The sequence below is a fragment of the Homo sapiens genome, chromosome 5 (genome assembly GCF_000001405.40).
Source record: "Homo sapiens chromosome 5, GRCh38.p14 Primary Assembly".
Taxonomy (NCBI): Eukaryota; Metazoa; Chordata; class Mammalia; order Primates; family Hominidae; genus Homo; species Homo sapiens.
The window spans coordinates 69,202,608-69,216,468 of NC_000005.10; the positions used below are offsets into that span (position 1 = coordinate 69,202,608).

The following is a 13,861-nucleotide window of genomic DNA, read 5'->3' on the forward strand; positions in this document are numbered from 1 at the left end:
TTTTACTCTCAACTTCTTGCTGGTAACTGTATTGTATATGATTAAATAGATTGTCCAAAGGGAATGCTATGATTGGAATTCGCTGTCCTTGAGTTCTCTCTTTTTTTCAAAATTCTATTATTTCTGACTAATGTTGAACATTATCTACTTATAATTTAAGTTACTGTCTTCCTTTTGCTGTCTGGAAATAGAGGAATTGAAAACTGGAACTTTAGATAACTAAGGCTAGTAGATAAACTCAGTGATTTAAGTATTACAGGTTTGTCCTTACATACAGTAATGTGCTTTAACTTTTTTATTTTTAATAACAGGAATCTTGGGATTTAGAGGAAAAACTGCTTGATATTAGAAAGAAGAGATTGCGTATGTAGAACACTTTTTTTTTGGCAGAACACATTTTGCTTACTTTATAGATTGATAAGGCCAGATCTCTTAGCCACTGAGAAATTTCCTAATTTCCGACTTCCAAAATTCCTTAAAATTTTTGACATGGCAACTTAAAAAGTGATATAAAGTACATTTTGTTCTGTTTATTCTCATTGTTTTAGAACTTTATTTTCGTTTTTTGTTTGCTTTTTCTGAGACAGTCTTGCTCTATCACCCAGGTGGAATGCAGTGACTTGATCTTGGCTCACTGCAACCTCTGCCTCCCAAATTCAAGTGATTCTCCTGCATCAGCCTCCTGAATAGCTGGAACTACAGGCACCCACCACCATGCCTGGCTAATTTTTGTATTTTTATGTTAAAAAAAATTTTTTAATATGGTATTTTTTTTTGGAGACAGAATCTCACTCTGTCGCCCATGCTGGAGTGCAGTGGCACGATCTCGGCTCACTGCATCCTCCGCCTCCTGGGTTTGAGCAATTCTTGTGCCTCAGCCTCCAGAGTAGCTGAGATTACAGGCATGTCCTATCACACCTGGCTAGTTTTCGTATTTTTTTAGTAGAGATGGGATTTCACCATGTTGGCCAGGCTGGTCTTGAACTCCCGACCTCAGATGATCCACCTGCCTCGGCCTCTCAAAGTGCTGGTTATAGGCATGAGCCACTGCACCTGGCCAAATTGTTGTATTTTTAGTAGGGACGGGATTTCACCTTGTTGGTCAGGCTGGTCTCAAACTCCTGACCTCAAGTGATCCGTCTGCCTTGGCCTCCCAAAGTGCTGGGATTACAGGCGTGAGCCACAGTGCTGTGCCTCATTAGTTTAGAACTTTAAATCACAAAATTAATACATTCTCAGAAGGGGAAAAATAAAAGGATGTAGTAAATTATAATGCAAAAGTCATGCCTCTTTTCTGTGTGACCACAGTTTGGTATTTATCAGTCTAGACTTTTCCATATCCATATAAACATTTATATGGACATGGAAATTTCTATATATATATATAGAGAGAGAATTTCTATATATATATAAATTATATATATAATTATATATATTTATATATTATATATATAAATATATATAATATATAAATATATATAATTTCTAAATGATCAAATGATATGTATGGATCTACAGCCTTATCACTTAATTTATCATGACATGAGATGGTTTTTTGTATTGAAACTGTTGGAATGTTTATTTCAAAGGCAATACACACTGTAGAACATTTGGAAATAAAGGTATACAAAGGAAAAGTTAAATTTTTTTTATTTTCCATCAAAAGATAATCAGTCTTCAAAGCTTTTTTCAGATAAGGGTCTTGTTCTGTCACCCAGGCTGGAGTGCAGTGGCGTGATCATAGTTCTTTGCAGTTCAGTGCAGCTTTGAACTCCTGGGCTCAAGCCATCCTCCCACCTCAGCTCCCAAGTAGCTGGGAATACAAGTGCACTCCACCATGCCCAGCTAACTTTTTTGTTTTTTGTTGACATCGAATCTTGCTGTGTTACCCAGGTTTGTCTTGAACTTCTGCCCTCAACGATCCTCCTGCCTTGGACTCCCAAAAGTGCTAGGATTACAGGCATGAGCTACCACACCTGGCTTGTATTTCTTTTTTTTTTTTTTTTTTTTTTTTGTGAGATGCTGTCTTGCTCTGTCACCCAGGCTGGAGTGCAGTGCTGCAATCTCGGCTCACTGCAACTTCTGCTTCCCGGGTTGAAGAAATTCTCTGCCTCAGCTTCCCGGGTAGCTGGGATTACATGCGCCAACCAGCATGCCTGGCTAATTTTTTGTATTTTTAGTAGAGACAGGGTTTCACTGTCTTGGCCAGGCTGGTCTTGAACTCCTGATCTCGTGATTCATCCACCTCTGCCTCCCAAAGTGTTGGGATTACAGGTATGAGCCATCGCACCCAGCCATTTTTTTTCTTTTTCTTTTTTTTTTTTTTTTTGAGATGGAGTCTCCCTCTGTCGCCCAGGCTGGAGTGCAGTGGTGCGATCTCAGCTCATGGCAATCTCCACCTCCTGGATTCAAGTGATTCTCCGGTCTCAGCCTTCTGAGTAGCTGGGACTACAGGCACCCGCCACCACGCCCAGCTAATTTTTTGTATTTTTAGTAGAGACGGTGTTTCACCATGTTAGCCAGGATGGTCTTGATCTCCTGACCTCGTGATCCACCCACCTCAGCCTCCCAAAGTGCTGGGATTACAGGCATGAGCCACCTCGCCTGGCCAACCTTTTTTTGTTTGTTTGTTTTTGTTTTGAAATAGTTTCGCTCTGTTGTCCAAGCTGGAGTGCAGTGGCGCGATCTTGGCTCTCTGCAACCTCTGTCTCCTGGATTCAAGCCATTCTTCTGCGTCAGCCTCTCGAGTAGCTGGGATTACAGGCGTGCCACCACGCCTGGCTAATTTTTGTATTTTTAGTAGATACAGGGTTTCACCATGTTGTCCAGGCTGGTCTCGAACTCCTCACCTCAAAGTGTTCTCCCCGCCTCTGCCTCCCAAAGTGCTGGGATTATAGGCGTAAGCCACTGTGACCGGCCTTTTTGTTTTTTGAGACAGGGTCTTGTTCTGTTACTCAGGCTGGAGGCACACTCATGGCTCACTACAGCCTCAACTTCCTGGACTCGAGCAATCCTTTCACCTCAGCATCCCTGATAGTTGGGACTACAGGTGCATGCCACCATGCCTGGCTAATTGTTTTTTTTCTGTAGATATCTTTTTTTTTTTTTTTTTTTTTTTTGAGACGGAGTCTCGCTCTGTCGCCCAGGCTGGAGTGCAGTGGCACTATCTCAGCTCACTGCAAGCTCCACCTCCCGGGTTCACACCATTCTTCTGCCTCAGCCTCCTGAGTAGCTGGGACTACAGGCACCCGCCACCACGCCCGGCTAATTTTTTTGTATTTTTAGTAGAGACCGGATTTCACCATATTAGCTAGGATGGTCTCCATCTCCTGACCTCGTGATCCGCCCTCCTCGACCACCCAAAGTGCTGGGATTACAGGCATGAGCCACCATGCCCGGCCTTTTTTTCTGTAGATTTCTTAAATTTATTTTTCTATAGAGACAGGATTCATTCACCATGTTACACAGGCTGGTATAGAACTCCTGGGCTCAAGTGATCTGCCCACCTTGGCCTCCCAAAGTGCTAAGATTACAGACGGGATCCTGTGATCCACTGTGCCTGGCCAGATTTGTTGGTTGGGTTTTTTTTTTTTATACGGAATTTCTCTCTTGTTGCCCAGGCTGGAGTGCAATGGCGTGATCTCGGCTCACTGCACCTCCGCCTCTCAGGTTCAAGCGATTCTCCTGCCTCAGCCTCCCGAGTAGCTGGGATTACAAGCGCCCGCCACCACTCCCAGCTAATTTTGTCTTTTTAGTAGAGACGGGGTTTCTCCACATTGGTCCGGCTGGTCTCGAACTCCCTACCTCAGGTTATCCACCCACCTCGGCCTCCCAAAGTGCTGGGATTATACGCATGAGCCACCGTGCCCAGCCGGTGTTTTGTTTGTTTGTTTTTATTGAGATGGAGTTTCGCTCTTGTCACCCAGGCTGGAGTGCAATGGCGTGATCTCGGCTCACTACAACCCCTGTCTCCCAGGTTCAAGCAGTTCTCCTACCTCAGCCTCTTGAGTAGCTGGGATTACATGGGATTACAGGCGCCTGCCACCATGCCCCACTGATTTATATTTTTAGTAGAGACGGGTTTCATCATGTTGGCCAGGTTGGTCTCCAACTCCTGACCTCAGGTGATCCACCCTCCTCAGCCTCCCACAGTGCTGATAACAGGCATGAGTCACTGCACCCTGCTCAGATTTGTCATTTGTAAACATTATATAGATTTGCCTGTTAGCAAATAATCTCAGGGTCATTAGTAGTATTGGTCATCTTGTCTATTCCCCCATGTTTTTTTAAGTAGAATCAGGGTCTTGCTATGTTTCCCAGGGTGGTCTCGAACTTCTGGCAATCTTCCTGCCTCAGCCTTCCAAAGTGTTGGAATTATAAGAATGAGCCACCCATGCTCAGGCTATACCCTTTTGATGATTCATTTTCTCCACTGCATTCCAACCTCCTTTAATATACATTAATGTTGAAGAACAGGCCCCTGAAATACATCCATTTATATTTCCAAGTAGTTTAATTCTTAGACTATTTCCAGTAATACAAAAAATGATTGATGATGTTTATCCCTGGAGAGGGGAATCTTACTTTTTTTTTTTTCCTGAGACAGAGTTTCACTCTTGTTGCCCAGGCTGGAGTGCAATGGTGCAATCTCAGCTTACTGCAACCTCTGCCTCTGGGTTCAAGTGATTCTCCTGCCTCAGCCTCCTGAGTAGCTGGGATTATAGGCACATGTCACCATGCCCAGCTAATTTTTGTATTTTTCATAGAGATGGGGTTTCGCCATGTTGGCGGGGCTGGTCTCGAACTCCTGACCTCAGGTGATCCGCCCACCTCGGCCTCCCAAAGTGCTGGGATTACAGGTGTGAGCCACCGTGCCTGGCCAAATAAGATTAATTTTAAATGAAAAGTAAGATTCCTTGGCCGGGCGCGGTGGCTCACGCCTGTAATCTCAGCACTTTGGGAGGCCGAGGCGGGTGGATCACTGGAGGTCAGGAGTTGGAGACTAGCCCAGCCAACGTGGCAAAACCCCTATCTATACTAAAAATGCAAACATTAGCCAGGTGTGGTGGTGGGCGCCTGTAATCCCAGCTATTCAGGACGCTGAGGCAGGAGAATCACTTGAACCCCTGGGAGGCGGAGGCTGCAGTGAGCCGAGATTGTACCACTGCACTCCAGCCTAGGCAACAGTGAGACTCCATCTCAAAAAATAATAATAAAATAAATGTTTATATGTTTCATTTTTGTAATTTAAGAGGGAAAAATATATGTATTTCCTACCTATTTTGGCAACCCAAAATAAGCCCTCATTACATGATGCCACTTGAAACATCTGTAGACAGCTGTTATTGTCATACAGAAATACCTGGAACATTTCACTAAGGGCATTGCTAAGTACGAAATTAAAATATTGTTATTTTGCACCAGGGAAGTCATTTTCAGATCGTAATAAAGTTGCAACCTAAAATGCTGCTTATTAAAATTTTTCTCTTGACTAAAATAACCAAGAAGTGATCTGCTTCATAATTTTTCAAGATCCTTGTTTATAGAGGTATTATATATGGTATATTATTTTATTTTTAACCTAACAGAATTAAAACAAGCTTCAGAAAGTAAGCTTTTAGAAATACAGACTGAAAAGAACAAACAGAAGATTGATTTGGACAGTATGGAAAACTCAGAGAGGATAAAGATCATACGACAAAACCTACAGATGGAGATAAAAATTACTACTGTTATTCAACATGTGTTCCAGGTAACATTTATATAAACTAGCAAGAGTTTTAATCTTGTTGCCCAGGCTGGAGTGAAGTGGCTCGATCTCAGCTCATTGCAAACTCCGCCTCCTGGTTCAAGCAATTCTCCTGTCTCAGCCTCCTGAGTAGCTGGGATTACAGGCGTCCACCACCATGCCCGGCTAATTTTTTAATTTTTAGTAGAGACGGGGTTTCACCATGTTGGCTAGGCTGGTCTCAAACCCCTCACCTTAGGTGATCCGTCTGCCTCAGCCTCCCAAAGTGCTGGGATTACAGGCATGAGCCACTGCGCCTGGCCAACTATTTGATGATGCTATCATACAGTATTGACTTAACTTTCAGCTAGTTTTTGATCTTGATGAAATAATTCAATGTTTAATATTGGTCTGTTTGTATATATCTGGAATGTGTGTATACTTAATGTTTAAGGTCTTGATTTTTCTTTTTTCTTTTTTCAGACGCAGTCTTGCTCTGTAGCCCAGGCTGGAGTGCAGTGGCATGATCTCGGTCCATTGCAACCTCCTCCTGGGTTCAAGCGATTCTCCTGCCTCAGCCTCCTGAGTAGCTGGGATTATAGGCATCTGCCACCACACCTGGCTAATTTTTGTGTTTTTTGGTAGAGATGGGGTTTCGCCATGTTGGCCAGGCTGGTCTCGAACTCCGATGTCAGGTGATCCACCTGCCTCAGCCTCCCAAAGTGCCGGGATTACAGGCTTGAGCCACCGCACCCAGCACGCTGCAAGTATTTTTAACAAGTAAAACCTATCCATGGAAACTGACGAGGCATAAAAAATTATTGTAAACATTGTAAATATTCCCTAACATTATGGAGATCAAGGCTAAAGCCTTACTAAAAGTGGAAATGAAAGTAGAAGAATGCTGCTGGGTGTGGTGGCTTATGCCTGTAATCCCAGCAGTTTGGGAGGCCAAGGCGGGTGGATCATGAGGTCAGGAGTTTGAGGCCAGCCTGGCCAAGAGACCAGCTGAGCCAATACGTTGAAACCCTGTCTCTACTAAAAATACAAAAATTAGCCGGGTGTGGTGGTGGGCGCCTGTAATCCCAGCTACTCGGGAGGCTGAGGCAGGAGAGTTGCTTGAACCCGGGAGGCGGAGGTTGCAGTGAGCTGAAGACCGCACCATTGCACTCCAGCCTGGGTGACACAGAGCAAGACTCCGACTCAAAAAAAAAAAATAGAAGAATGTATTATCATTTTTTTCTTATGATCACAGAGCTACACATGTAGTAAATGTTAATTACTTGATAAGATTCATGAAAAATGATATTCTAAAATCTTGTTAAATTTTTAAAGTACTTGTAACTTTAAAACAATTTTTTTTCTTTACAGAACCTTATTTTGGGGAGTAAAGTCAATTGGGCAGAGGATCCTGCCCTTAAGGAAATTGTTCTGCAGCTTGAGAAGAATGTTGACATGATGTAATAAGAATTCATTTCTGACATATTTTACATTTCTGGCAATCTCAACTCTTATTTGGAATACTTCTGTGCATTTGTCTGTCCACCGTAATTTTAGAAAAGCATATCCATAACGTTTACAGTTGTAGTACAGTTGTGGTTAGTTATTTGTAGTGGGATTGAAAGTAATTTTTTTCTTTTTATATTTCTATATTTAGTTTGTTTTTTTGTTGTTGTTGTTTTTTGAGATGGAGTCTCGCTTTGTTGCCCAGACTGGAGGGCAGTGGCGCGATCTCGGCTCACTGCAACCTCTGCCTCCCGGGTTCAAGCAGTTCTGCCTCAGCCTCCCAAGTAGCTGTGACTAAAGGTGCACGCCGCCATGCCCAGCTAATTTTTTGTATTTTAGTAGAGACGGGGTTTCACCGTGTTGCCCAGGCTGCTCTCAGAACTCCTGAGCTCAGGCAGTCCACCGCCTCGGCCTACCGAAGTGCTAGGATTACAGACGTAAGCCACCGAGCCTGGTCTAGTTTGCATTTTTTTTCTATCAGTTTTATAAGTTAAGAAATAAAAGGAATTAATGTTACTCTGTCTTATTTTTTTTTAATTCGTGCCCTTTACAAACAGTAGTACTCTTAGTAATTATAAAATAGAACTTGTCACTTTTTATAGCATCGCAATCCGTTTTTGAAAAACTCTAATTTGAACACTTTATTAATTTGGAGCTGTTGAACATTTTTACAGCTAATGTAGTATTTTCAACATTTTTTTTTCCCCTTGAGATAGAGGCTCGCTCTGTTACCCAGGCTGGCATGCACTAGTGCTATTTCAGCTCACTGCAACCTCCACCTCCTGGGTTCAAGCAATCCTCATGCCTAAGCCCCCTGAGTAGCTGAGATTACAGGTGTGGCCCACCATGCCCAGCTAATTTTTTGTATTTTCAGTTGAGACGGTGGTTTCACCATGTTGGTCAGGCAGGTCTCGAGCTCCTGACCTCAAATTATCTGACCACCTCAGCCTCCCAGACTGCTAAGATTACAGGCATGAGCCACTGCACCCGGCCTCAACATTCTTTTTAGAAGGACTTGAAACTTGAAATGATGCTAGCATTTGTTTTCTTTTCTTTTTCTTTTTTTTTTTTTTTTTTTTTGAGACGGAGTCTGGCTCTTTTGCCCAGGTTAGAGGGCAGTATGGCACGATCTCAGCTCACTGCAACCTCCACCTCCTGGGTTCAAGCAATTATCCTGCCTCAGCCTCCCTAGTAGCTGGGACCTGTACAGGCACGTGCCACCATGCCTGGCTAATTTTGTGTTTTTGATAGAGATGGGATTTTGCCACGTTGCCCAGGCTGGTCCTCAAACTCTTGAGCTCAAGCAGTCCACCCACCTTGGCCTCCCAAAGTGCTGGAATTACAGGTGTGAGCCACCTCACCTGGCCAAGTTCCTTCTTAAGGATCAATTCTGAGAGAGAAATTGTATTAGCTTTTCTTAAAATCATGCTGAATAATAACCCCAAGTCTCAGTGGCTTATAACAGACATTTCTGTTTTGGGTCTGTCCTTCAGCTGATAATTCTAGGACTCAGGCTGAGGGAACAACCACAATCTGAAATGTTCTCATGGCACAGGGCAGGAGCTTATGACGTCAAGTCCAATTATACCAGTATGATTAAAGTTTCTGTTTGAAAGAGGCTGACATTGACAAAACCCAACGTCATTGAGGCAGGAAAGTATACTTCTCCCATTGCAGGGGAGTGGTGGATTTCAGAGTTGGAGAAAGTGGGTATTTTACTGAAAGAATATAATTTATTAAACTCAGCTATCTTGGTCATAAATATGACCAAGAATCCTTTCTGCATCCTTTCATGCAGAATGCAGAATCCTTTCTGCATTCTGCCTGCAAAAGACACTTCCCAAGGAAGACAAGAAATAAGCTAATAGTGTCATCCAATTGTTACATTTTTTTCAAAGTTCAGTCTTTCATATCAGGTCCAGATGTGGCCCTTCATCTAGAGACCTGTGAACTTTTCAGACAAATTGTATCACCTCACACATCCAGCAAGCAATAGTGGAATAGGTCTGCAGTCTGTAGCAATTTTTTTTTTTTTTTTTGGTAGAGATAGGGTCTCACTTTGTTTTCCTGGCTGGTCTCGAACTCCTAGGTTAAAGCCGTCTACCCACCTCAGCCTCCTGTGGTGCTGGAATTACAGGTGTGAGCCAGCACACCCAGCCAAAATCTTAAGTATTACTTGGCAAATGATAGGAGATTCCCCTTCCTAGAGGATAGGGAATGACACTGATGAGGCTCTTGTGTTGTTTTCTGGAGGCACTTCATCCAGATTCTTCACTCTGCCAGTGGGGAGGTTCTACCTTTTTCATTATCAATGTCAGCCATATCTCTGAAGAGGGCATTAGAGAGTATGTCCTTCTGAGCAGCTTTCTGAAGTTGGGGACACAGATCTTTTTACGTGTACAACAGTCACAGTCTTGGTTTTGGTTTTGTTTTTGTTTTTTTGAGACGGAGTCACTGTGTTTCCCAGGCTGAAGTGCAATGGTGCCATCTCAGCTCACTGCAACCTCCACATCTCAGGTTCAAGGGATTCTCCTGCCTTAACCTCCTGAGTAGCTGGGACTACAGGTGCACACCACCATGTCTGGCTTTTTTTTTTTTTTTTTTTTTTTTTTTTTGAGACAGAATCTCACTCTGTTGCCCAGGCTGGAATGCAGTGGCACAATCTCAATCTCAGCTCACTGCAACCTCTGCCTCCTGGGTTCAAGCCATTCTCCTGCCTCAGCCTCCCAAGTAGCTGGAATTATAATCAGGCATGCGGCACTGTGCCCGGCTAATTTTTGTAGTTTTAGTAGAGACAGGGTTTCACCATGTTGGCCGGACTGGTCTTGAACTCCTGACCTCAGCTGATCCATCTGGCTTGGCCTCCCAAAGTGCTGGGATTACAGGTGTGAGCCACCATGCCCGGCCCGGCTAATTTTTTTGTATTTTTAGTAGACATGGGGTTTTACCATGTTGGCCAGGCTGGTCTCAAACTCCTGATCTCAAGAGATCTGCCTGCCTCAGCCTCCCAACGTGCTGAGATTACAGGGATGAGCCACTGTCCCCAGGCTTGCAGTAGATATATTATCTATGTGTTTTTTTTTCTTTATATGGAGTAGATACATTTTCTAAGGCCAGAAAACCTACCCATGGATTATATTCTACAAAAAGGACAGAAGAACTAACCTGCTAAGATGACATCGTATCACTAACAAACTCAGTGATCTGGGCATGGTGGTATGTGCCTGTAGTCCCAGCTGCTCAGGAGGCTGGGGCAGAAGAACTGCTTGAACTGGGGAGTTTGAGGCTGCAATGAGCTATAATGGTGCCAGTGTGCTCCAGCCTGGGTGACAGAGACCCTGTCTCAAAACAAAAACAAAAACTGGGTGCGGTGGCTCACGCCTATAATCCCAGCACTTTTGGGAGGCTGAGGCAGGCAGATCATGAGGTCTGGAGATTGAGACCATCCTGGCTAATACGGTGAAACCTTGTCTGTACTAAAAATACAAAAAATTAGCTGGGTGTGGTGGCGGGCGCCTGTAGTACCAGCTACTCCAGAGGCTGAGGCAGGAGAATGGCGTGAATCCGGGAGGCGGAGCTTGCAGTGAGCCGAGATCGTGCCACTGCACTCCAGCCTGGGTGACAGCGAGACTCCATCTCAAAAAACCTCAGTGGTAGTTGTCTGCTATCTAAGGCTAACAATAAAAGGCTGTTACAGAGCTGTATGGCAGGGCCACCCCTGTATGGAGGGCAGACTCCAGACCTGTAGAGCCATCAGCATGCAATACTTGCCTGAGAGAGCCCAGGTACCTCTCTTCAACTGCTGAGAGCTGCTGGGTTGGAACTGTGCCCATCAAAACCATGGGGTAGGGCTGCCCCGGGGCTTTGGGGGTCCAACCCCCAGCCCAATGCATCCTGAAGGCAAGATACTGAGTCAAGAATTATTCTCAAGCTTCAAGAGTTAATGTTGTTGGCCTTTTGGGTTTTTAACTTACTTGGGACCTATTACTCCTTTCTTCTTGCCTATTTCTCCCTCTTGGAATGGGAATGTCAGTCCTGTTCCTGACCCATCATTGTGTTTTGGAAGCACATGTATTTGATTTCACAGGCTCACAGCTGCAGGAGAAGTTGCCTCAGGATGAGTCATGGCCTTGAGTCTCATCCATATCTGATTTAGGTGAGACTCTGGACTTTATAGTTTTGAGTTGGTGCTGGAATGAGTTGAGACTTTTGGGGCTACTGGGATGGATAAATGTATTTTTGGGTTTTTTTTGTTTGTCTTTTGAGACAGTGTTTCCCTTTGTCCCCCAGGCTGAAGTGCAGTGGTACGATCTTGGCTCACTGTGAACAACTTCCGCCTCCCAGGTTCAAGCAATTCTCATGCCTCGGCTTCCAAGTAGCTGGGATTATAGGCATACACCACCACGCTCAGCTAATTTTTTTTATTTTTAGTAGAGACAGGGTTTCACCGTGTTGGCCAGGCTGGCCTGGAATTCGTGACCTCAAGTGATCCGTCTGCCTCAGCCTCCCAAAGTGCTGGGATTACAGGTGTGAGCAACAAGCGTCCGATAAATGTATTTTGCATGTGAGTAGGACATAAATTTGGGGGGCCAAAGGCGGTAAGCTATGGTCTGACTGTGTCCTTCAAAATTCATCTATTGAAAATTGCTAATGTGACAATACGAAAAGGTATTGGAAATGATTAAATCATGAGTACAGAACCATCATGGATGAGATTAAGGCCCTTAAAAAAAGGTTTGAGGGCCAGGCACAATGGCTCACACCTGTAATCCCAGCATTTTGGGCGGCCAAAGTGGGCCGATCACCTGAGGTCAGGAGTTCAAAGCCAGCCTGTCCAACATGGCAAAACCCCATCTCTACTAAAAATACAAAAATTAGCTGGGTGTGGTAGAGGGCGCCTGTAATCCCAGCTACTTGGGAGGCTGCAACAGGAGAATCGCTTGAACCCAGGAGATGGAGGTTGCAGTGAGCCGAGATTGTGCCACTGCACTCCAGCCTGGGTGACAGAACAAGACTGTCTCAAAAAAAAAAAAAAAAAAAGTTTGAGGGAATGGGTTCCTTCTCTTCTGCCCTTCTGCCATGTGAGCACACAGTGTTAAACCCCTCGGATGAAGCAGTGTTCAAAGCACCATCTTGGAAGAAAAGACTGAGCCCTCACAAAACACCGAAACTGCTGGTACTTTGATCTTAGACTTTTGAGCCTCCTGAACATGAGAAATAAATTTCTGTGGTTATAAATTACCCATACTAAGGTATTTTGTTACAGTAGCACACATGGACTAACAGAGGAGCTAATCAACATTTATAGAATACTCCACCAAACAACAGCAGAACACTCTTTTCAAGTGCTTACAGAACATAAACAACATAGACCATATCCTGGATGACAAAATATCAACAAATATAAAAGAATTGAAATTATACAGACTGTGTTCTGACTACAAGGGAATCAAATGAGGAATCAGTAACAGTCAGATAACAGGAAAATTTCCAAATACTTGGAAACTGAACACACTTTTAAATGAGGCATAGGTCAAAGGAGTCTCAAATGAAAATTTTCTAAAAAGCATTGAACTGGGCCAGGTGCGGTGGCTCACACCTGTAATCCCAGCACTTTGGGAGGCCAAGGTGGGCGGATCACCTGAGGTCAGGAGTTTGAGATCATTCTGGCCAACACGGAGAAACCCTGTCTCTACTAAAAATACAAAAATTAGCTGGGCGTGGTGGTGGGCACCTGTAATCCCAGCCACTCAGGAGGATGAGGCAGGAGAATCAGTTGAACCCAGGAGGCAGAGGTTGCATTGAGCTGAGATCATGCCACTGCATCCAGCCTGGGTGTCACAGCGAGACTCTGTCTCAAAAAAAAAAAAAAATTATCGGCTGGGCACGGTGGCTCACACCTGTAATCCCAGCACTTTGGGAGGCTGAGGCGGGCAGATCACGAGGTCAGGAGATGGAGACTATCCTGGCTAACACAGTGAAACCCTGTCTCTACTAAAAATACAAAAAAAATTAGCCTGGTGTGGTGGCGGGTGCCTGTAGTCCCAGCTACCTGGGAGGCTGAGGTGGGAGAATGGTGTGAACCAGGGAGGCGGAGCTTGCAGTGAGCCGAGTTGGCACCACTGCACTCCAGCCTGGGTGACAGAGCAAGACTCTGTCTCAAAAAAAAAAAGAATTACCACAGATGAATGGATAAGCAAAATGTGGTATACACATATAATGGGATTTTTTCAGCCTTAAAAAAGAAATTCTGACACATTCTACAACATGAATGAACTCTGAAGACATGCTAAGTGAAACAAGCTAATTACAAAAGGACAAATACTGTTATGGCTCCACGTACATTAAGTACCCACAGTAGTCAAATTCATAGACAGAAAGTAAAATGATAGTTGTCAGAGGCTGAGGGAAGGAGGAATAAGTTTTTGTTTAATGGGTACAGTTTCTGAAGATGGTAACAATTGCCCAACAATGTGAATGTACTTAATGTGACTGAACTGCACATTTGAAAATAATTAAAATGGGGCCAGGCGCAGTGGCTCACGCCTGTAATACCAGCACTTAGGGAGGCTGAGGTGGGTGGATCACTTGAGGCCAGGAGTTGGAGATTAGTCTGGCCAATATGGT

The 13,861-nt window shown here is 44.2% G+C and overlaps 1 protein-coding gene across 1 annotated transcript in view, besides 1 other annotated feature; it reads left to right on the top strand.

Annotated features, from left to right (window-relative positions):
• CENPH (centromere protein H) overlaps positions 1-7,750 on the top strand; it is a 20,775-nt gene extending 13,025 nt beyond the window's left edge. The window contains exons 7-9 of the mRNA NM_022909.4: positions 312-363; positions 5,589-5,752; positions 7,100-7,750. Of these exons, the coding sequence (NP_075060.1) occupies positions 312-363; positions 5,589-5,752; positions 7,100-7,192 (309 nt within the window). The 3' untranslated portion in view covers positions 7,193-7,750. The remainder of the gene's footprint in view (positions 1-311; positions 364-5,588; positions 5,753-7,099) is intronic.
• Positions 9,542-9,751: an enhancer, noted in NCBI's record as "active region_22641". NCBI's record gives its function as "activates an Ori minimal core promoter by ATAC-STARR-seq in GM12878 lymphoblastoid cells {active_cell/tissue: GM12878}" and the evidence as "EXISTENCE:reporter gene assay evidence [ECO:0000049][PMID:35858748]".